Source organism: Homo sapiens, chromosome 10 (assembly GCF_000001405.40).
Source record: "Homo sapiens chromosome 10, GRCh38.p14 Primary Assembly".
Lineage (NCBI taxonomy): Eukaryota > Metazoa > Chordata > Mammalia > Primates > Hominidae > Homo > Homo sapiens.
The window spans coordinates 34,801,536-34,824,140 of NC_000010.11; the positions used below are offsets into that span (position 1 = coordinate 34,801,536).

The following is a 22,605-nucleotide window of genomic DNA, read 5'->3' on the forward strand; positions in this document are numbered from 1 at the left end:
CCCAGAATGTGAATGAGCCTTCAAGACGCCACTCCCTATTTAGTATGATAAATAGGTCAACTCCTGGGTGAAGTCTTCAGGTGATTTGCACTGGGTGCCTTTAGCCAAACTAAAGTATTAAAAGTTGCATCAATCTGTCAACCCTTACAACTACCTACCTAAGCAAAAGATGTTCTGTGTTCCTTTGTTGCTGATTTAGCTGCCCGAAATCACCATCTTAAGATGCCCAAAATCACATCTTAAGAAGTGTTATGGGCACATGAATTATAGAGGCCTATATAGTAAGGATTAGAAAAGTCACAAAAATGTCAACTTTCCCATTTATTTTATAACACAGATTATCTATTTGAGCTCCAGGGTATTCTCAGAACTATTACTAGTTAATAAACACTAAAGGCCTTTAAAACATCTCTGCATTTTATTAATACAGACAGTATTTACATTTTATACTTTTATCCTTTCCAAGTTTTAAAAGTATTTTTAATGAAAAATGTGTAAGTGATGCCTTTTAATGTACTTTAAATACAGCAAATAAAATTTATGTAATTTCCTTTGAAGTAGCAGTGTTGCGGCTGCAATTATTTAGGAAGTAACAAGTAGAAAGTCCTACACGGCTAAGACAGCTAGACAAACACAATTCTCCTTGACCTGTAAAAGAATCAGCTTAAACTGTTGGGTGATCTTTATATCTTCATTCTTAGCTAAATGATGCATACATACTAACACTGGAATTTCTAAAGCACTTTTAGAAAAAAAAAAAAGTAGCCCTTTAACAGACAACCTGGAAAAACAACACTTGATGTCATAAACAAGAATCAAGCTGATTTTGTGAAATAGCCATTAAAATTTTGCCTAATCTATGTTTGAAACTTGAAGAGAAAGAAAAAGATCTAATACTGACAGAATCTATTACATGAAAGGGGCATTGTCTACAGTGAATAACTTAATCTCCATGACACCCTACAAAGATGACAATCCCAAATTACAGACAGGAAAACAGACTTACAGAGCTTGTATTATGTGTCAAAGCTTTGGTCTGGGGGGCCCAAACCAAAACCTGGAAAAGCTCTTCCATTATGGACATGTTTGGAGCATCCAAATCAATGTCACTGGGATTTTATTTCTTAAATTGCAGAAGGAGGTTTCCTTGGTGACTTTTTTTTTAAGAGAGACAGTTTTGCCACATGATTTCCCACATGTGGTGAAGTTCTAATGAGGATGAGATAAAACAATTTAGAAAAGCCTATTCTAGTGAGACTTAATCACTGGCAAACACTCCTGGTAAAAACAAAGGGACAGTACGGCTAACATGTAGTCCACCTGGCCTCCTACAATACCTTTTCACATTCTCTCTTTGAACCCAGACAACAACCCCACAAAGCAGGTGGTATTAAAAGGTAGGACTCCCGACCAGGCACGGTGACTCACACCTGTAATCCCAGCACTCTGGGAAGCCAAGGCGGGTGGATCACTTGAGGTCAGGAATTCAAGACCAGCCTGGCCAACAAGATGAAACCCCGTCTCTACTAAAAATGAAAAAAAAAAAAAAAAAAATTAGCTGGGCGTGGTGGTGCATGCCTGTAATCCCAGCTACTTGGGAGGCTGAGGTGAGAGAATCAGTTGAACCCAGGAGACGGACGTTGCAGTGAGCCGAGATCAAACCACTGCACTCCAGCCTGGGCAACAGAGTGAGACTCCGTCTCAAAAAAATAAATAATAACAAAAAAAAAAAAATAGAAGGCAGGAATCACGTGCTCACAAAGGTACTTCTCTTAACTCTCCATAAATGTCTGGGAGAGATTCCTCTTCAGAATCCTGATCCATGATGTGTCACTCTGATGTTTTTGCTTCCTAGAAGCAAAATACCCATCACCAAACTTTCCACTTTCAGCTAACGGTGTTTTTGCAAACATCTGTGTGAGTCTTAAAACGTAAAAGACAAAAATGACTCCACCATAGAAAGTTCAGGAGTTGGCCGGGCGCGGTGGCTCATGCCTGTCATCTCAGCACTTTGGGAGGCCAAGGCAGGCGGATGACTTTAGGTCAGAAGTTCAAGACTCCATCAAGACCAGCCTGATGAACATGGTGAAACCCCATCTCTACTAAAAATACAAAAATTTAGCCAGGTGTGGTGGCTGGAACCTATAATCCCAGCTACTTGGGAGGCTGAGGTTGTAGAATTGCTTGAACCCAGGAGGTGGAGGTCGCAGTGAGCCGAGATCGCGCCATTGCACTCCAGCCTGGGTGACACAGCAAGACTCCATCTCGGAAAATAAAAAATAAAAATAAAAAATAACAATAATCAAGTTCAGGAGTTTGTTAGCATTGCAAGTTTCCTTGGAAAAAATATTCCTGATAGGATGTGCTTTCATAATTTAAAATATATTTATTTCATATTCCTCAACATGACAACCGCTAAAATGCCACCACCTTCCAGATGCAGTAAAAAATAGTTATCAATCCAAATGATGCACTTAGGGATCTACTTGATTTGTTTTTGTTTTTTTTTTTTTTTTGAGATGAAGTCTCGCTCTATCGCCAAGGCTAGAGTGCAGTGGCACGATCTCAGCTCAATGCAACCTCTGCCTCCCGGGTTCAAGCCATTCTCACTACTCAGACTCCCAAGTTGCTGGTATTACAGGCACCTGCCATCACACTCAGCTAAATTTTTTTGTATTTTTAATAGAGATGGGGTTTTGTCATGTTGGCCATGCTGGTCTTGAACTCCTGGCCTCAAGTGATCCGCCCACCTTGGCCTCCCAAAGTGCTGGGATTACAGGCATGAGCCACTGCACTTGGCCAAGATCAACTTGATTTGTCTAGAAGATTTTTTTTCCAGATCTCTAACAAAGTGGTAAAGGTACCAAATCCTATGTTCAACATTAATGAATTTAGTGATTAGTCACATCCTGTGTTGTAGTACATCAGGAACCAATATCCTGCACATTTTACCTCCTTCTTCTGCAGGTGCTGCTGTCTGTAATAAAAGAAATCCAAGTTTAGAGTATAACCCTGCTGGGCAGGAATCTGGCTAACCATTATTCACATATGGTTTTGCACACTGGGTTTCAGCATTATAAATGACACATGTTAAATGCCTTTGTGGTATAAGAAAATACGTTTCCTGGAAGAGTTTTCTTTTTTCCTTTGTCCCTCAGACTTCTAAAGAGTTTATTTTTTAATTTTGGACTTAACATTGGACTTAGAGAAGAAAATTAAAACACAGACATAAAAACTTTTTTCCAATTTGTATTGTCTATGTAAAAGAAATTGAACAAAAAAATCTAGTCTCATATATACCACCAACACAAAAACAACACTCCTTTCTTTGTGTTTTTAATATTAATACACATCTTTTGATTGGTTAGCAATTTTAGGTTTTTGAGACATAATATCAAGTTGATTTCTTAAGTGTTGAAGAAGGAAACACTGATTTTTAGTGTAGTCTATCTCAAAGAGGCTTTTTGAAATATATAAACCCTATAACATAGATTAGTTTTCTAATCTAAAGGGATGCGGTACAATCAACAAAAAGGGAAAGGCTGGGCGCGGTGGCTCACGCCTGTAATCCCAGCACTTTGCAAGGCTGAGGCGGGCGGATCATGAGGTCAGGAGTTCAAGACCAGCCTGGCCAACATTGTGAAACCCTGTCTGTACTAAAAATACAAAAAATTAGCCAGGTGTGGTGGCAGGCGCCTGTAATCTCAGCTACTCGGAAGGCTGAGACAGGAGAATCGCTTGAACCCAGGAGGCAGAGGTTGCAGTGAGCCGAGACTCTGCCACTGCACTGCAGCCTGGGCAACAAAGTGAGACTCCGTCTCAAATACAAGAAGGGAAAAACCAGACACTAGAAAAATATACATCTGAGTTCCAAAACCTTAAATCTTACAGTGTCTGAATAGTTAAAAACACCAAGATTGGGAGAATGTTGACTTGACTATCATCTCTAAAATGACTTAAATTTATACCACCATAAAAGATCACCCCAGAAATACACACGTATGTGCATATATATATATATATATATATATACACCGTACAGTTCGTATCATGCAATATCATACATCTGTAATTCACAAAGGGAATTGTCTTAGTCACTTCTGAGCATGATGTGATTTACATTAAAAGATACTTACCTTGAGACAATAAGAAATTCTGGGGCCGGGCGCGGTGGCTCACGCCTGTAATCCCAGCACTTTGGGAGGCTGAGACAGGCGGATCACGAGGTCAGGAGATCGAGACCATCCTGGCTAACACGGTGAAACCCCACCTCTACTAAAAATACAAAAAAATTAGCCAGGCGTGGTGGTGGGCACCTGTAGTCCCAGCTACTCGGGAGGCTGAGGCAGGAGAATGGCGTGAACCTAGGAGGTGGAGCTTGCAGTGAGCCGAAATCACGTCACTGCACTCCAGCCTGGGCGACAGAGCGAGACTCCGTCTCAAAAAGACAAAAAAAAAGGAAGAAGGAAGGAAATTCTGAAGGACACCCTAGACAAATTTTTTTTTTCTGTTAGAGACAGAGTCTCGCTGTGTCACCCAAGCTGGAGTGCAGTGACACCATCATAGTTCACTGCAATCTCAAACTCCTGAGCTCAAGCAATCCTCCCACGTCAGCCTCCTGAGCAGCTGGGACTAAAGATGCACACAACCATGTCTGGCTAATTTTTTTTTTTTTTTTTTGAGATGAATCTCCCCATCGCCCAGGCTGGAGTGCAGTGTCGCTATCTTGGCTCACTGCAACCTCTGCCTCCCAGGATTCAAGTGATTCTCTTGCCTCAGCCTCCCAAGTAGCTGTGATTATAGGTGTGCACCACCATGCCCAGCTATTTTTTGTACTTTAAGTAGAGATGGGGTTTCACTACTTTGGCCAGGCTCGAACTCCTGACCTCGTGATCCACCCACCTCGGCCTCCCAAAGTACTGGGATTACAGGCGTGAGCCACCACACCCGGCCTATGCCTGGCTAATTTTTTTAAAAAGAGACGGGGTCTCACTATGTTGCCCAGGCTGGGTCTTGAACTCCTGGCCTCAAGCAATCCTCCCACCTCAGCTTCCCAAAGCTCTGGGATTACAGGCGTGAGCCTTCTCACCCAGCCAACCCTAAGCAAAATTTACCCTAACTCTGAATAGCATCCATTTGACCTGGAGAGCAAGCCCCGTCATTTCAAAGTTGGGGGGGTCGGGGTGAGGCAAAATATTCTCACAGCATGGAGGGAAGCAGTAAGAGGTCCTGGACCCTGTATAACCATCTGAAAAGCCACTGCACATCACTTATGGTCCCATGAGCACCAAAACAAACCATGCAGAGCAGGAGTCCCTGCACAGCTCAGGGAACTGGCAGTGGGAGTCCAGCCCAGCACCTCTGAATATGAGAACATGGGGAAACAGAGGCTCACAGAGCTTGTAAGATTTGCCAAAGCTCAAAATTTCTGGGAGCCAAAGCCAAATGCTGGAAAGGCTGGTCCATTACGTGCATCCTTGGGGCATTCTCAACCTCCACTGCACAAAGGTAGCTGGCGAGCTGGGTAGAAGGAGTCTCTGGCTAAAGAACAATTGGTGAAGCCCTTAGAGGGGGTAGGGGGTAGCACACAGAGACCAGGGGACCTGGAGGCTCAGCAGCCAGGAGCTTACCAGACACTAAACAGGACACATTGGACAGGCCTGAGAAAGCAGGGATTCCACACTATATGGAAAACTCCTAAAGACAGCCAGTTTTCATTTGAAGTGTTTTGAGCATCTCTGATACACATATATATGTCATTTTATGAAATGCTCAGAACTACAAAATACCTAAAAATGGAGCGTTGTTCATAGTGGCTTATGCAGTCTATTTTTCTAACATCTTTATTGACATATAATCACATAACCATAAACTCCATCCATTGAAAGTATACACTTGAATAGAACTGTGCAACCATCACCATGATCTTAGAATATTTTCATCATCCCAAAAGGAAACCTCATACCCATTCACAGTCTCCATGACTCCAAACTCCCAGTCCTAGCGGAACACCACTCTACTGTCTCTATAGAGCTACCCACTCTGGTCATGTTATAGGAACAGAATTATACAATATGTGGGCTTGCTGCTATGAACACTGATGTACAGGTTTTGTGTACACATTTTCATTTCTCTTGTGTGCTTGTGTGTGTGTGTATATATATAAAGAGTATATATAAAATATATACAGAATAGAGTACAGAGACTATATACAAAATATACTCTGTTTAGGTGAAAAAAATAAATAATTGATATTTAAAGTCACTTGGATGTGGAGCTTGAAATTTTACTTGCAAGGACCAATATGAGTTGATGGAGAAAAAAGGAATACACAAAAGTAATATTTAAATGGCAAAAACCACGTAAAGATAGCAGGCCAGATGCAAGAAGGCACAGACCTATACACGAAAGTTATTTTAACTTTATTTACTAAAATGTTTACTTATTTACTAAATAAGTTAAAACAAAGTTATTTTTACTTATTTGCTAAAATTTAGGCCAGGCATGGTGGCTCGTGCCTGTAATCCCAGCACTCTGGAGGACCAAGGCAGGTGGATTGCTTGAGCTCAGGTGTTTGAGATCAGCCTAGCCAACATGGCGAGATGCCGTCTCTACAAAAACTACAAAAATTAGCCAGGTGTGGCGGCACACAACTGTAGTCCCAGCTACTTGGGGGACTGAGGCAGGAGGATCGCTTGAGCCTGGGAGGTTGAGGCTGCAGTGAGCAGAGATCACGCCACTTCACTCCAGCCTGGGTGACAAAGACCCTGTCTCAAAAAAAACAAAAGAAAGAAAGAAAAAACTTGTAAATAATGACTAAAAGACAAAAAAAAATCAGTCATCTTTCTACTTTATTCACTGAACTCGGCATTTATTTTGATAAAGATTTGCTTTTGTACAGAAAAGGTACCCAAAACAGGTAAAACTGTATACATTTACTGATGTCCAGCTCTACTGCCATTGACCTTGGTCCCAGCCAGGAATGTTGAGCGAGTGGCCAAGCAGGATGAAAGCATGCTGTGTGGGCTTAGCATGCCATCTCCCCCGATGGAAAATTACCTATAGAAAGCACCTTCTGGCCCAATCTTACATGTTTATTTCCATCCTTGATAAAAAATACCGAGGGCTCTAATCATCTATGGGGAGCTCAACATCACCAACTTGCACCCAACTCTGTGGGGAGGTAGAACCTCCCAGGACAGACGGAGGATCCGTCTGTGGGTTTGCATCCAAGTGGGACTTTAAATATTCCCTCCACAACCAATTTATCCATGTCTACCACAAGCCAAGAAGCGCTTCACATCCGCCAGATTCTCTCTGAGAATCTCAGATCCTAAACATTCCTACTTAGTCCTGGCACTCAGCCAAGCATCTCAACTGACGGAATCAGAGGCGCCAGACCAAGCATAGGTGTGTTCCAGGGCCAGATTCTCACACAGCCCTGGCCACCTGCCTTGAACCTCGCCCAAGGCGAATCCCAGGAGGGTCCTCTGCTTGAGCTGAAAAACAAACTGAACTCCCTCAAGACAGCTGATACGAAAGAGTAACTTCCAAGTACTCCAAACCTCATTAAATCTTAGTTTCCATTACAAGCTGTTTGTGCCAGTAGGTCAAACACACCAAACCTTAAAGTCCTTTAAATTCACGAGTGCTGATGATAGTCCTCTCAGCAGAAGTGTATTTTTTGTGTGAGAGCAGTGTAACATGTTGATTCTCAGCTTTCTATTTACTCAACATTCTGACTGCAATGTGACAGACACGGGCTATTCACCAAGACTGAAGCTCAGCCACCGCTTCAAGCATTTCACCCGGAGGGAGGAAGGGCGCACGGATACACTTGAAAACCACACAGCACAGCCCAAGCATCTGAGTCGGTACAGGAGCTACACCCAGGACGTCCCCAGGAGAGGCAGCAGGCAGGGAGAAAGATCCTCTAGCAGCTTGGGATGGAGAGCCAGCCTCCTGGAGATGGCTGTCTGGGCTAAGACTCACGAATGAGTGCAAGGAAGGAGCAAATGTCCCAGGCAGAAGAAACAGAAAATGCCAGAACAGAGGCAGCAAAGTGTATGTGAGTCCCAGGGGGTGGAGCAGCTGCAGAGGGAGTGGCTGGAAGGCAAGAGGGGTCCCTACAGGGACAGGCTGTGCTCAGAAGGCAGGACTTGGAGAACGCGGGACAAAGGCGCTTCAGCACCAGAGGACAATGTGACTTGAATTCTGGAAAGATCAGCCTTTCAAAAATGTTTAGTTTCTTTTTCCTTTTTAGAGGGAAGGCAGAAAATGTTAAAAAAATAAATAAATAAATAAAGCTGCTTTCATTTCACTATTTTTATGCTTGCCTCTATTTTCTTTCAATCTCTGCAACAGTACAACTATTTTCTTAAAAGTTTCAATACGCTTGTAAATGAATAACATGCAGTCATACATTTATTCACAGAAAAATTCCATACCAACCACAAGATTTTTCATAAAAACCATGACTGTCATTGTTACTAATCAACAGTCTCCCGCCACCAAAAAAGCACATTTTCAAAAGTTTCTGTCCATGAGCTCAACTTTTTAAAAAATACAGGTCAAGCATCCCTAATTGAAAAATCCAAAATCCAAAATACTCCAAAATCTGAAACTTACTGAGCACCCACATGACGCCACACCTGGAAAATTCCACATGTAAGTACTTACCACAGACTTATTTTCAAGCACAAAAATACTGCATAAAATTACCTTCAGGCTATGTGTATAAGGTACGTAGGAAACATAAATTCTAACAATACATTAGACTTGGGTTCCATCTTCAACCTATCTCATTATATATACAAAAATATCCCAAAGTCCAGAAAAATCCAAAATACTTGTGTGGTCCCAAGTATTTTGGATAAAGGATGCTCAACCTGTAATAACAACAGGTTGCTATTAAATCACTCTAAAGTGATGTGCTTGGGGACAGAAGCCAGAGGCCCCAATAATCAACCTGTAATCAAGCCAATACCCGCAGCTTTTACTTCCCCAGCCCATACACACATGCAACACACAATTTTGTTCTCCTGATTGTGGTGCTGCACGTCATTCAATCTCACATTCTTACCTATCCTTCAATGAAATTACATGCTGCGTTTTTAAGTAAACAGGAAAAATCCAAGCAGCAATAGTGGGACACCTGGGAAAGTTCCCTGGGTGTAAAACTGCTTGGTGGATAAAACATATTGGTGATTCCATTCATCTTTACGGAGCAGCTAGTATGGGCCGGGCCCAGGACTTTAGAGTTTCCCTCTCATCATCCTGTTTAATACTTACATTAACCCTGCCAGGGAATATTCCACTTGAGATAATGGGGCTCCGTAGGGTTGGTGTACCCAAGGTTAAATGGCCTGTAAACCTAAGTCACCAAACCCAATACAAAGCTCCCCTATACCCAAGGTTAAATGGCTTGTAAACCTAAGTCACCAAACCCAATCCAAAGCTCCCCTACAGGCTGAGAGGAGAGCTATGAGGGAGGTGGGAACAGTGAGCAAAGGGGCTCCAGCACCTCCTTGCCCTCACTTTTGCCCTTCACTCTCTCCTTCCCCTTTTGGTCACTCAGCAACCTTTATTTAGAATGAAATGCTAAGGAATTATCCATCCAAACCTCATCTAAGGTTGCTCAGGTCATCCTCCTAGAACTACTTGTTACCCTGACTCTTAGCTAAACACCACAGTCCTTCCTACTGCACGAAGTCTCAGGGTCTTGCCCTGGCATTCTGTCCTCCTCAGTTTGATCCTGACCCCCTGGGCTGAATGCCTGAATCGCCTTTGTCCATACTGCCTTCCTGGAATGCCCTCCCTTTCACTTATCAGAATCGTAGCAGACATTCTGCAGATTCACACACCTAGACCCCAACTGCAGACCTCAGACCCAGAGCCCATCTGCCCCTGCAGGCAGGTGCCTCACCCAGTTAGCAAGCACTGCCCTATATCAAGGTCAGCCTTCCCACCAACCAAGCCCAGTTCAAATCCTAGTGACTAAATGAGACTCCCACACACACCCCATAATGATAGCACCCACCTCCAAAATCCAGAAGCGATTACTGACTGTATCACAGTGGTGCCAATTAATGCTACCACCTCCTGTTATTTATACTGTTATATATTCTTCCTGTCTCCTAGATTATACTTTTTTTTGAAAATTGCACGAATTCAGTCTTATATTTTTTTCATAGAGCATGACTTTTTATACACAGCAGCCCTTCAACCAACCCCACACAGCGCTGCAGCTCAGCACCATGTCCACCTGGAATCACGCGTGTCAGGTCGCAAGCGCAGAAGAACAGATGCAGACACGGTCCATCCTCCCATCCTGCGCCCTCATGAGAACGGTCCATGTAACGCGGTTCCCAATGTCTAGCACCGCACTGTCCTCAGCGAGGCTCCTAATGCAGATGGGTGGATGAGGATGAACAGCTATTCCCAACCATCAGTGATCACAACCACAAAACCATCTTTCAGGAGAGGAAAAAAGAAATGTCACACATGACTAAGCATAAGCCTTCAAATATCTACTCACTGAGGACATGTCTAGTATTAAATCATGACACTTCACTATCCAGAAAAATTGATTTGTGTAATCTGAAGAGAAAACAGCTCACATGCAATGCCAGAAAATTAGCCCCACCACACCAGAAAATGTTTACTGCAGAGAAAGCCTTGGTGATTTGAGAGTTGGGACCTTTCTCTTTTCCTTTTTATTTTTTATTTTTGGCTTGGTTGGTTATTATCCAAAGCCATAAACATGATCTGCCCACACTTTTCCCCACCAGATGGGAGCTCATCAAGCCACATGTCACCTAGCAACCTAAACACCACTCCACAACTATCCAGCCACCCAATTCTTCACACAGAATTTCTCTTGTTCTATTAGGCAATACGGATAAGGAACAGATAGAGAATAAAAGTTAAAACAGTGTTAAATACATATTAACACTTCCTCATCACTTAATATAGAATGGGAAAAGTAGTAAGAAAGACTAAAAATTAATCTTAATCATTGTCTAGCAATTTCAGAAGAAAAACGAGAAAAAGGAGACCTAGAAGACACTCCAGCTCTGGCAACATTTAAGGGTCAACAATCTTGGGATCCAATGACTGAACTTGGTATACTGCAAAGCCCCCGTTAAAATTCACCTACAGAACTCTAAGTTGTACTTAAAGAGCATGTAAGTGTTGGAACCCCTGACCCATCTCTGACCCTCCCTCTCATCTCCAACTCCCATGTCACTATCACCCTCCCTTCCTTCAGCTCATAGGCCCCTTTTCTCTTTGTGACACCTTCCCAGACACCCTTAAAAAACTGCACTCCCTTTTCTACGCCCTGTGAAACAACCACTGCTAATCGTTAATAAGGACCAGGTCCGTGACCAAGGCCCTGCACTCTAGCCACCCAGCATCCCAGAGGCCACCTCTTCTCCCCATGTCATCACCAGCTCCTTCACCTGGAGGACCCCGCAGCCTCTTGCTCAGCTTCTCACAGCCAGTGGGTCCCTTAGATGTCCAGCACCCAGAACAGTGCCATGGACACAGTCAAAGCTTCAGAATTTCTGTGGAACGAATGCCTGGAACAACTACATTTGAACTACTGCCAAACAGGCAGTTCAGCCTATGTCTATTTTGTGCAGGATGAAACATGGGACACAGTAGGTAAAACAATTTTAATCACATAAAATTAGTAAAGTGAAAGAAAATGTTGACCACCCTCTTCCTATTCAGGAGCCTAGACGTACTGCAGAGTGCATATTACTTTATTTCTCTTTCCTTGCACAATTTGTTTTGTTGGTTTCCAGAGTGCCTGAACAATTTGAGTACTCTTTTGGAACATTTAAAGCATAAACTGTCACACATAAACAACACTTAAAAATGCTAAATGTCCATTTAGATGGTTTTCTTTCCCTTTGTCAGCTTTGCAAGATAAACAGGTGCCCAATTCCCACTAATTTTATTTGATTTTCAATAAAAGAGTTCAACTGTAAGGAACATAACAGAGCTACTAAAGCCAACGTCTTCCATCCTTGTGTCGGGTCTCCAAACGTCCCCCAAAATTATCTTTAAAAGGCCAAATTTATGCTATTTTTTCCAATATATACTAAAAGCAAAACAAAAGTCTAAAAAGCTTTTACTTCTTAATTTCTGAGAGAACTGAAGATGCCACCGGAGTACCCTGTGTACGCTCAATAGGGCTGACCAAGCCACTTTCCAACGTCATTTGCAGCCCCCAAGCCCACAGGGGCCAGGCCACTGTCGGGAACAAATGGGAAATACTGCACCCAAACGAATGCGCTCCCCACCAAAGAGGACTCTACTACAAAGGAAATATATCCCCGGGTGCTTGGGAGAAACTTCAGCGTGGGCTGTTGTCAAACACAGACACAGTCGGTAAAACAATTTAACAAAACGCCTTTTCACTTCTGACACACAGTAGAGGAATGCTGTGAAGTGGAGACAATGTTATCAGTCCACCAGGAAAAAGGGAAATCCACTCAACTCCCAAGTCAGGCCCGGCCCCGCAGCCCAGCCACATGGAACCAGCCCGGGATAGGTAGGAGCTGAGGTCCTCGCAGGAAAACTTTTCATTCCGCGACTCTTCCAAGGTTGTGCTTTCCAGAGCCCAGCAAGTGGGATCAGCTCAGTAAATGCTCGCAAGCGAGTGCCAAGTGCCAGCGGTGGCCCTCCCGGGAACGCCTCCCCGACCCCAAGCCGGCGACTCCCCAAACCCTGCAGCCCCCGGACGCGACGGGCCGCCCCTGCCGGCCCCTACCAGCAGGGGACATGGAGGAAAAGCCCCCCGCCGCTGTTCCGCCCCCGCCCGAGTAAGGGAGAGGAGGCAGAAGGCTCGCAACCCGCCTCTGTCGGAAGGGCAGTCACGAAACTCTCCTCACACCAAAAGTTCCCAGTCCCCGGCCTGTGCCCCCGGGGCCTGGGAGCCGGGAAAGGCCTGGGGCTGGATTTCCCGGCCTGCGCCCCCCGCGCGCTGGCTCGGGGCTTGGCTGGGTCTGCAGACTCCGGGGAGGCGCCCAGGGCCGGCCTATGCGCCGCTGCCCGGCTCGCCCCGCGCTACCGAGGCCGGAGCTCCCGGGCGGAGGGTGAGGGCGGGGGCCGCGGGACCCGGCTGGGTGTCCCAGAGGCTGCGCCCCGGCCCGCGCAGAGAACTTTGGCGCCCGCAGTCCGGGGCGGGGGGCGCCCGCGAGGCCCGACCGGCCGCACTTTCCCTTTCCCCGCCTCCCTGCGCCTCTCCTCCCCCTTCCAGGAAGCGCCATATTGATCCCGGCGCCGTCCCCGCCGCCGCCCCCTCCCCGCCCGCGCCCCCGGCCCCTCACCTTGGCGATGGCCTTCCGGTAGCGGGTCACCGCCTGCTGGATGAGGCTGAAAACTTTCATGTGGCCGTCCCCGCACGGCACGACCACCCGGGTCCGTCCGAAGCACACGGTCACTTTCATGCCGCCGCCGCCGCGGGCGGGCCCGCGCCCCTCGCCGAGCGCAGCCGGAGCAGCCGAGGCCGGGACCGAGGACGCTGGGCGCGGAGGAGCCGCTGGGGACTCGGGCGCGCGGGCGGCTAGGGGCGCGGGCAGGCGGCGGCGACGCCGGGGGGCCGCTCAGCTCGCATGCCCGGCCCGGCCGCCCTCGCCTCGCCTCGCTTCGCCCGGGGCTTGCCTCGCCTCTCCCCGCCGCGGCGCCCGCAGCCTCCGGCCACCTGTTCGGCGTCGCGGCGCGCTCGCCGGCGGCTGCCCGGGGCTGTGTGGCGCTGGCGCTCGCTCGGGGCCGCTGGGGGAGGGGACGGCGGGAGGGGAGGGGAGGGGAGGGGAGGGGAGGGGGAGGAGCAGGGCAGGGCACACAACACCGCGCACATGCGGCAGGGGGAGGCGCGGCCGGCTACCCGCGCGGGGCGGAGCGCAGGACCGCAGCTCGCGCCCCCGCCACCGCCCTCGGGGGCCGACCTCCTTCCCTCCTTCCCTCCCTCCCTCCCTCCCTCCGGGGGCGCGGGACCCCTCGCCCCAGTGCCAGCACGGGCAGGCGGCCGTCTGCCCCCACCAGCCCTGGCCCAGGCGCCCCCCAGCCCCCTTCACCCCGCCCGCCCAGCACCCTGCAGGGCTGCGTCGCCCCTCCTCGGGGACGCCCCTTCCACGCCTCCAGAAGTCTCCACGGAGCCCCCCTTCCCCTTTCTTTGTCACTTTTAATCCCATTCCTCGAACTGGAGGGTTTTGGGTGCAGGCGCTCCCGGGGAAAGCAGTTTGTGCTCAGTGCGGTGAGTCCCCTCCTCACCGCCCCGGAGGCTCCAGCCCGAGCCTCTCCGCCCGCGGGGACTCGAGCCTGCAGCTTGCTCGGCTGGGTTTCTGCCCTGCCCGCTCCCTAGCTCTGCTGCAGGGCCGGCAGCGGCAGTTCTGCCTGAAACGCAAGAATTAATAGTCTGCTCTGGGGAGACAGTGGGGAAGCCGTGAGCGACCGGGCCTTTTCCAGAGGCCACTATTTACCTTGAAGTTTCCTGTTGACCCTCTGCTGACCCACCCGCTTAAATAGATTAGAACTTAAACATCGCAATTCTGATACATTTATTTCTTTGAAGTTCTGCAGCATAAGGAATCCTAACGCGAATCCGTGAACAGTCTATTCCGACGGCGCAGAGAAATCTCACGCGGGGATCCCCACGATGTGCCGGCGCTTAACGCAGACGCCCGAACCCAGGGGAAGGCTGCGACTCCGCGATGAGTGACATGCGGGCTTGAGACGTTCTAAAGGAACGTGGACCGAGTTAGGGAACGTAACTGAAGCTCATTTTGTCTTAGTTATGGACTATGAGTCCTTAATAAATGTATGTCATTATGTTTAAAGAATGACAAATGTCTGCAAAGAGTGGTCCCTGTCCCAAGCCCTTTCCAGACTATGTGAAATTCTTTTTTGCCAGTTGTTTCCAAGACACGTGAAAGCAATCAAGCTCCCCTGGGTTGGCGCAGAACTTGAGCACTTAAGAGCTGGAAGAGCTGGCGATCGACCATCCATCCCACTCCACCTCCAATCTTAAAACAAGGAAACAAGACACGAGGTTCGTCCGCTTGCCACACTCCCTGCGCTTTGCAGCACCGCAGCTGCCCCAGCATAGTGCAGTTTCTCCTAGGAAACATTGCCCTTCCTCTCCTCTCCCAGCCCTGGACCACCACTTTCCACCACCTGTCCCAGCAAATCAGTGCAGTGGTGTTAGCCCCATCTTACTCCAGGACATTGACCCAGGGCCAAAGTCACTTGCCCAAGGCGGCAGAGAAAGCTCAAGGCAGACCCAGAAATAGTCTAGGTTTCCCTCCTTCCACTCAGCCATGGGAAAGGCTCCTCCTACTGCTGTTTGGCTGCAGCACTAGACATTTCTAGCCAGTAATTAAGTTTGTGACAACGATGACAACAACTGTTGATGTGGGTTTTTTGCTTCTTACATAGATACTTGGATCCACAACAACAATTACTGATAATTATAGGTGTTGTTTCTGTTTTCATGCATTGGGAGAGTATACTACTAGTTTAGAATGTATACTACTTTATTTTATTTTGTGTTTTTTACATTTATTTATGTATTTATTTTTATTTATTTATTTATTTATTTATTTTGAGACCAAGTCTCGCTCTGTTGCGCAGGCTGGAGCGCAGTGGCGTGATTTCGGCTCAGTGCAACCTCCGCCTTCTGGATTCAAATGATTCTCCTGCCTCCGCCTCCCGAGTAGCTGGGATTATAGGTGCCCGCCACCACGCCCAGCTAATTATTGTATTTTCAGTTAGAGACAGGGTCTCACCATGCTGGCCAGGCTGGTCAATCCGCCCGCCTCAGCCTCCCAAAGTGCTGGGATTGCAGCGTGAGCCACCGCGCGGCAGAGAATGTATACTAGTTTTGATGCTACACTAGTTCAGAGGGGTATACTAGCTTGAGTATAATAAATTAGAGTGGGGCTTTCTCAAAATAATTCTAATCGAAAGTCATTTTTCAGTAATAACCAGAGTACATAGGACATCACACTGATCTAGGTTCAGATCCATATTTGGCCACTTACTAGTGCCTTAGACACAACAGTCACTCTTTCTCCAGCCCGTTTTATCAGCTGAAAAGTAGAGAAGTAGAGCTTATCATATCCATATCCATCTCATAGATCTCATAGGTTATGAGTCAGTCTTTCTTTTTTTTTGAGATAGAGTCTTGCTCTGTTGTTCAGGCTAAAGGGCAATGGCACAATCTTAGCTCACTGCTGCCTCAGACTCCCAGGCTCAAGCAATCCTTCCTCAGCCTCTAGAGCAGCTAAGACTACAGACAAATACCACTATGCCCAGCTAATTTTTAAATTGTTTGTAGAGATAAGGTCTCACTATGTGGCCCAGGCTGGTCTTGAACTCCTGTCCTCAAGCGATTCTCCCGCTTCAGCCTCCCATAGTGCTGGGATTACAGGTGTGAGCCACGGCACCTGGTCATAAGTTATGAATGTTAAATAAAATAATGTATCAGAAAACAGTACGGCTGGGTATGGTGGCTCACGCCTGTAATCCCAGCATTTTGGGAGGCCGAAGTGGGCAGATACCTGAGCTCGGGAGTTCGAGACCAGCCTGACCAACATGGAGAAACCCCGTCTCTACTAAAAATACAAAATTAGCCGGGCATGGTGGCACATGCCTGTAATCCCAGCTACTCGGGAGGCTGAAGCAGGAGAATCGCTTGAACCCAGGAGGCCGAGGTTGCGGTGAGCCGAGGGCAACAAGAATGAAACTCTGTCTCAAAAGAAAAAAAAAAAAACAGTACATGCTGCCACGCTGCCACATGGGAATGTATAGCGTAGTACAGTCCAGTTACCGTAATGAAGGCAGAGGGTAACAAAGTCCAGCACAGGATAGCAAATGATGACAGTGGAGGAGGCAGGAGAGATGAGGAGGACAGGAGAAGACCAAGGCTCAAAGAAATGACTAGCCAGGTGATACAACTTTCCAGTGACTGGGCTAGGACTACAACCAAAAACTCCAGCTCTGACTCTCAGGCCTGCACTCAATTCACTTAAATTTGATTCCACATGCAGTTAGTAAAGACCTTCCTTGCAGGAAGCACTGGCTAAATATTACAGAATTATAAAGGTGAGTAAAAGAAGGACAATCTAGAGGTCAGAATAAGATAGCTATTCCAATAACTATAATTCAACACATTAAATATTCAGTGCCAGCAAAGTGTTTATGGCGGTACTAGAGAAGGGGGAAGCTTTCATAACAGAGATGACATCAGGATATGTGGATACCATTTTATGTACATCAATTCCTTTAACTATTCAATACCTAATAAGGATATGGATGTTTTTAAAAAATATGATCCAGAGGATTAATAACACTGATTCCACCAACCAGATAAAGCCTTACAGCTGTATTTAAATCTACCTAGTTTATCTAGATGCAGTGATTCCGTTTATATTAATAATGGATGAAAAACTAGTACTGCATAATTCTAGATGCCAGAGCCTTTGGTGTCTTGAGTCAAAATTCATGAAAATTTTTTTGTAATTCATAAAATTTCATGACACATTGGGAATACATATCCAAGTCCTCACCTGCCCAAATAGAGCCCCCTTCAAAATATTCCAGGGTTGCCCTCAACCAGTCCATCAGCAACCATCACCAAAGTATCCACTGCCTTTTTTTTTTTTTTTTTTTTTTTTGAGATGCAGTCTTGCTGTTGCCTAGGCTGGAGTGCAGTAGCACGATCTTGGCTCACTGCAACCTCTGCCTTCCGGGTTCAAGGGATTCTCCCACCTCAGCCTCCCAAGTAGCTGGGATTACAGGCGTGCACCACCACGCCCGGCTAATTTTTATACTTTATAGTAGAGACAGGGTCTCACCATGTTGGCCAAGCTGGTCTCAAACTCCTGACCTCAAATGATCCACCCACCTCAGCCTCCCAAAGTGCTGGGATTACAGGTGTGAGCCACCATGCCTGGCCCTTCTCTGCATTTTCGTTCTCCTGTTCTGGTTCCCAGACACTGCTGGAAGGTATGTCAGCACTGCCCTGCTGAGAGAGCCCACTTTGCAAAAACTTGAGTCCAGGCTGAGATCACCACTTCTAGAAGCCCCGGTGTCACCCAGCCTCAGAATGCCAGAAAAGGCCCATCCCTGCAGAAAGTAAGCACCCATGTTTGCCATGACCCACCACTCAGAGCCCAAGTCCCCAGTCAAATATCTCCCTCCTTCCCAGGTCCCAGAGCTGAAGAATGAGGTAGCTTGTTGGTGAAGTCCATGAAAGTTGGCAGAACAAGGTGGAGGCTGGCAGAGCAGGTGATATTAACACTCAACTCTGTTAAAGACAAATGTGCAGCAGAGTGGAATAAAGCCACCTCAGCCACTCACTTTCTGGCGGGCCACCTTGACTGGAGGCAGGATTTGGAAAGTCCAGTGATATGAAGAGGTGCTTCGTGGTGATGCTTTATAAATGCCAGTTCTAGCTGAGCATGGTGGCTCATGCCTGTAATTGCAGACTTTGGGAGGCTGAGGTAGGAGGATCACTTGAGCCCAGGAGTTTGAGACCAGCCTGGGTAACATAGTGAGACTCTATCTATACGAAAGTTAAAAATTAGCTGGGTGTAGTGGCAAACACCTGTGGTTCCAGCTATGAGGCTGAAGGATCACTTGAACCCAGGAGTTTGAGGCTGCAGTGAGCCATGATCATGTCCCTTCACTCCAATCTGGACGACAGAGTGACACACTATCTCAAAAAATAAAATAGGGCCGGGCACAGTGGCTCACGCCTATAATCCCAGCACTTTGGGAGGCCAAGGCAGGTGGATCACCTGAGGTCGGGAGTTCAAGACTAGCCTGGCCAACATGGTGAAACCTCGTCTCTACTAAAAATATAAAAAATTAGCTGGGTGTTGTGGCAGACACCTGTAATCCCAGCTACTGGTGAGGCTGAGGCAGGAGAATTAGTTGAACCCAGGAGGCGGAGGTTGCAGTGAGCTGAGATGGCACCATTGCACTCCAGCCTGGGCAATAAGAGTGAAACTCCGTCTCAAGATAAATAAATAAAATAAAATATAAATGCCAGTTATTTCAGCCTAATCTTTGAGAGGGAAGTTCAGAGTCAAGTTCTTCGGTGAGGCTTAGAGTGCTGGCCTTCTAGGTTGCTGGGGGAAGCCAAAGGTGCAGGTAGTAAGATTGCTGCTATTTGGGGGAATTTCAGCATTTGAACCAGGATTCTCTGGTGGGTAAAAGTCCATCCTGCCTTCCCTCTGAGGCAGGCATGGCTTTATCAGGAACATAAGGTACTGAAAGTTAATTGGATGTGGTGGCTTACACCTGTAATTGCAGCTACATGGGAGGCAGAGGTGGGAGGATCACTTGAGCCCAGAAGTTCAAGACCTACAGAAAGTTAAAAATTTGGCCAAGCATGGTGGTGCATGCCTGTAGTACCAGCTACCTGGAAGGCCAAGGTGGGAGAATTGCTTGAGCCCAGGAGTTGGAGGCTGCAGTGAGCTATGATTGCACTGTTGGACTCCAGCCTGGGAGAGAGAGTGAGACCCTATCTCTATAAAAAGACAAAAAAAAAAAAAAAAAGTACCAAAAGTTTTTTTTTTCTCTTTCTCTCTCTCCCTCTCTCTCTCTCTCCTTTAAAAAACTTTGAGAATGCCTGGGCGTGGTGATTCATGCCTATAATCCCAACACTTTGGGAGGCCGAGGCAGGCGGATCACCTGAGGTCAGGAGTTCGAGACCAGCCTGGCCAACATGGCAAAACCCTGTCTCTACTAAAAACACAAAAAGTAGCCAGGCGTGGTGACAGGCGCCTGTAATCCCAGCTACTTGGGAGGCTAAGGCAGGGAGAATCCCTTGAACCCAGGAGGCGGAGGTTGCAGTGAGCCGAGATTGCACCATTGCACTCCAGCCTGGGCGACAGAGCGAGACTCTGTCTCAAAAAAAAAAAAAATTAAATGGCTCAAATTCTCAAATCCTGAAAGAATCTGGATGGGTAGGAGAAACAGCTGGAGCCTATAATCCCAGCTACTGAAGAAGCTGAGGCAGGAGGATCATTTGAGCCCAGGAGTTCAAGGCTGCAGTGAGTTATGATGGCACACTGCAGTGTAGCCTGGGCAACAGAGTGAGACCCATCTGAAAGAAAGGAAGAAAGAGAGAAAAGAAAGAAAGAAAGAGAGGAAAGGAGAGAGAAGGAAAGAAAGAGAAAGAAAGAAAGAAGAGAGAAAGAGGAAGGAAGGAGAGAGAGAGAAAAGGGAAGGAAGGAGAAAGAAAGAAAGAAAAAGAAAGAAAGAAAAAGAGAAAGAAAGAAGAGATAAAGAGGAAGGAAGAAGGAGAGAGAAAAGGAAGGAAGGAAAAAGAAAAGAAAGGAAGGAAGGAGGGAGGGAGGGGAGGGAGGAGAAGAAAGGAAAGGAAAAGAAAGCAAAGGAAAGAAGGGGAGGAAAATAAAGAGAAAGAAAAATAAGGAAAGAAAAGGGGAGGGAGGAAGGGAGGGAGGGAGAGGGAGGGAGGAAGGAAGGAGGGAAAAGGAAGGAAGGAAAGAAAAAGAAGGGAGGGAGGAAGGGAGGGAGGGAGGAAAGAAAAGAAAGAAAAGAAAAAGAAGTGAGGGAGGGAGGAAGGAAGGAAGGCAGGCAGGAAGGATGGCCCTATCTGGGTTTCCAGCCTCAAGCCTCTCCAGCACTGCCTCCAACCTACCTGGAGCAGGAAAGTCCTCTTCCCAATAGGTTCTCCAGAACCAGACCTACGGGTGTCAGAGGAGGCGAGTGGCTTTGAGGCTGCTTCAGATGAGGCCCAGGGCCCCGGGCCCCTGACATTCTGTGTAATAATTCTGGTATGCTGTACCAGTGCACATCCAGCCCCAGTAATCCCCTGTACCTGATTTTAAATGGCTGACTCATCCCTCCCCACTCTGTCAAGTTACCCTATTAAGCCGGGAGTTCAATTTCAAAAACTCTCTATGGTGCTTTGGAATTTCATTCGCTCAGTGTCGTGGCAGAGGCACCATGCTTGTTCCAGCTGGGGAGGTTTACTTGGATGGAACACCAGGCAGTAGATCTGCAGTGGTAGATCCAGAACCCACAGAAATCTTTCGTTGTTGTTGTTGTTATTGTTGTTTTTGGAGGCAGTATCTTGCTCTGTACCCCAAGCTAGAGTGCAGTGTCACAATCATAGCTCACTGCAGCCTCGAACTCCTAGCTTCAAGCAATCCTCCTGCCTCAGCCTCCAAAATAGCTAGGACTTCAGGTGTGTTCCACCATGCATGGATTTTTTTTTTTTTAATTTTTTTGTAGAGATAGGGTCTTCCTATGTTGTCCTGGCTGGTTGTAAAGTGGTCCTCCTGCCTCAGCCTCCCAAAGTGCTGGAATTACAGGTGTGAGCCACTGCGTCCAGCCTTTCTTTCATCTATCTATCTATCTATCTATCTATCTATCTATCTATCTATCTATCTATCTATCAAGATGGGGATCTAGGCCAGGTGAGGTGGCTCACACCTATAATCCCAGCACTTTGGGAGGCTGAGGCAGGCAGATCATGAAGTCAAGAGATCGAGACCATCCTGGCCAACATGGTGAAACCCCGTCCCTACTAAAAATACAAAAATATGAGCTGGTTGTGGTGGCGCACCTGTAGTTCCAGCTACTCAGGAGGCTGAGGCAGGAGAATCACTTGAACCTGGGAGGTGGAGGTTGCAGTGAGCCGACATCGCGCCACTGCACTCCAGCCTGGTGACAGAGGGAGACTCCATCTCAAAAAAAATAAATTAATTTAAAAAAAAAATAAAGACGAGGATCTCACTATGTTACCTTTCTGGTCTTGAACTCTTGGCCTCAAGCCATCATCCCACCATGGCTTCCCAAAATGCTGTGATTACAAGCATGAGCCATCATGCCTGGCCTGGTCATCTATATTTTGGGATGACCTCCTGGTGACTCTAATGCACAGTGAAGTTTGAGAGCCACTACTTGTCTCAAATTTGTCTACCAATTAGAGCCAAGGTATTGTAATATATTCAATGTGAGACCCTAGAAATCAGTACATAATTTTTTTTTTTTTTTTTGAGATGGAGTTTCACTCTTATTGCCCAGGCTGGAGTGCAATGGTGCGATCTTGGCTCACCACAACCTCCACCTCTTGGATTCAAATGATTCTCCTGCCTCAGCCTCCCAAGTAGCTGAGATTACAGGCATGTGCCACCACGCCCTGCTAATTTTGTATTTTTAGTAGAGACAGGGTTTCTCCATGTTGGTCAGGCTGGTCTCGAACTCCTGACCTCAGGTGATCCTTTTACCTCGGCCTCCCAAAGTGCTGAGATTACAGGCATGAGCCACCTCGCCCGGCTCATAAAAAGTTCTTAATTCATGGGTTGAATAAATTATGTAATGGATGAATATATTATGTAATGGTTGAATAAATTATGTTACGGATGTTTGAACTTACGGTCATTCCTAGTGTGACGTGGGGCCTAGAATACTGGAAAATGAATTACATGGTCCCCTCTAGTTTTATGTAATTGAAATCGGGTTAAAATTAATGTCAAGAGAACATTTAGTGCAGAGGAAAGTATCTCAAAAGCTTTAAAGTGAACACGGAATGCAATGTGTGAGGTGGCCATGAAA

General features: G+C 46.8%; 1 protein-coding gene and 1 long non-coding RNA gene across 12 annotated transcripts in view, besides 4 other annotated features; one reads left to right on the top strand and one right to left on the bottom strand.

Annotated features, from left to right (window-relative positions):
• PARD3 (par-3 family cell polarity regulator) overlaps nt 1–13,761 on the bottom strand; it is a 705,736-nt gene extending 691,975 nt beyond the window's left edge. For all 11 annotated transcript variants that reach the window (NM_001184790.2, NM_001184791.2, NM_001184789.2 and 8 more), the window contains exon 1: nt 13,341–13,761. In NM_001184790.2, the coding sequence (NP_001171719.1) occupies nt 13,341–13,460 (120 nt within the window). In that variant the 5' untranslated portion in view covers nt 13,461–13,761. The remainder of the gene's footprint in view (nt 1–13,340) is intronic.
• Nucleotides 7,966–8,260: a silencer, noted in NCBI's record as "tiled region #397; K562 Repressive non-DNase unmatched - State 19:H4K20". NCBI's record gives its function as "represses a minimal TATA promoter and a strong SV40 promoter by Sharpr-MPRA in K562 cells {active_cell/tissue: K562}" and the evidence as "EXISTENCE:reporter gene assay evidence [ECO:0000049][PMID:27701403]".
• Nucleotides 13,000–13,279: a silencer, noted in NCBI's record as "silent region_2294". NCBI's record gives its function as "represses an Ori minimal core promoter by ATAC-STARR-seq in GM12878 lymphoblastoid cells {active_cell/tissue: GM12878}" and the evidence as "EXISTENCE:reporter gene assay evidence [ECO:0000049][PMID:35858748]".
• Nucleotides 13,800–13,969: a silencer, noted in NCBI's record as "silent region_2295". NCBI's record gives its function as "represses an Ori minimal core promoter by ATAC-STARR-seq in GM12878 lymphoblastoid cells {active_cell/tissue: GM12878}" and the evidence as "EXISTENCE:reporter gene assay evidence [ECO:0000049][PMID:35858748]".
• Nucleotides 14,060–14,109: a silencer, noted in NCBI's record as "silent region_2296". NCBI's record gives its function as "represses an Ori minimal core promoter by ATAC-STARR-seq in GM12878 lymphoblastoid cells {active_cell/tissue: GM12878}" and the evidence as "EXISTENCE:reporter gene assay evidence [ECO:0000049][PMID:35858748]".
• On the top strand, nt 14,233–14,887 carry PARD3-DT (PARD3 divergent transcript). Its single transcript, NR_108043.1, has 2 exons — nt 14,233–14,266; nt 14,585–14,887. It is a non-coding gene; the product is annotated as a PARD3 divergent transcript (long non-coding RNA).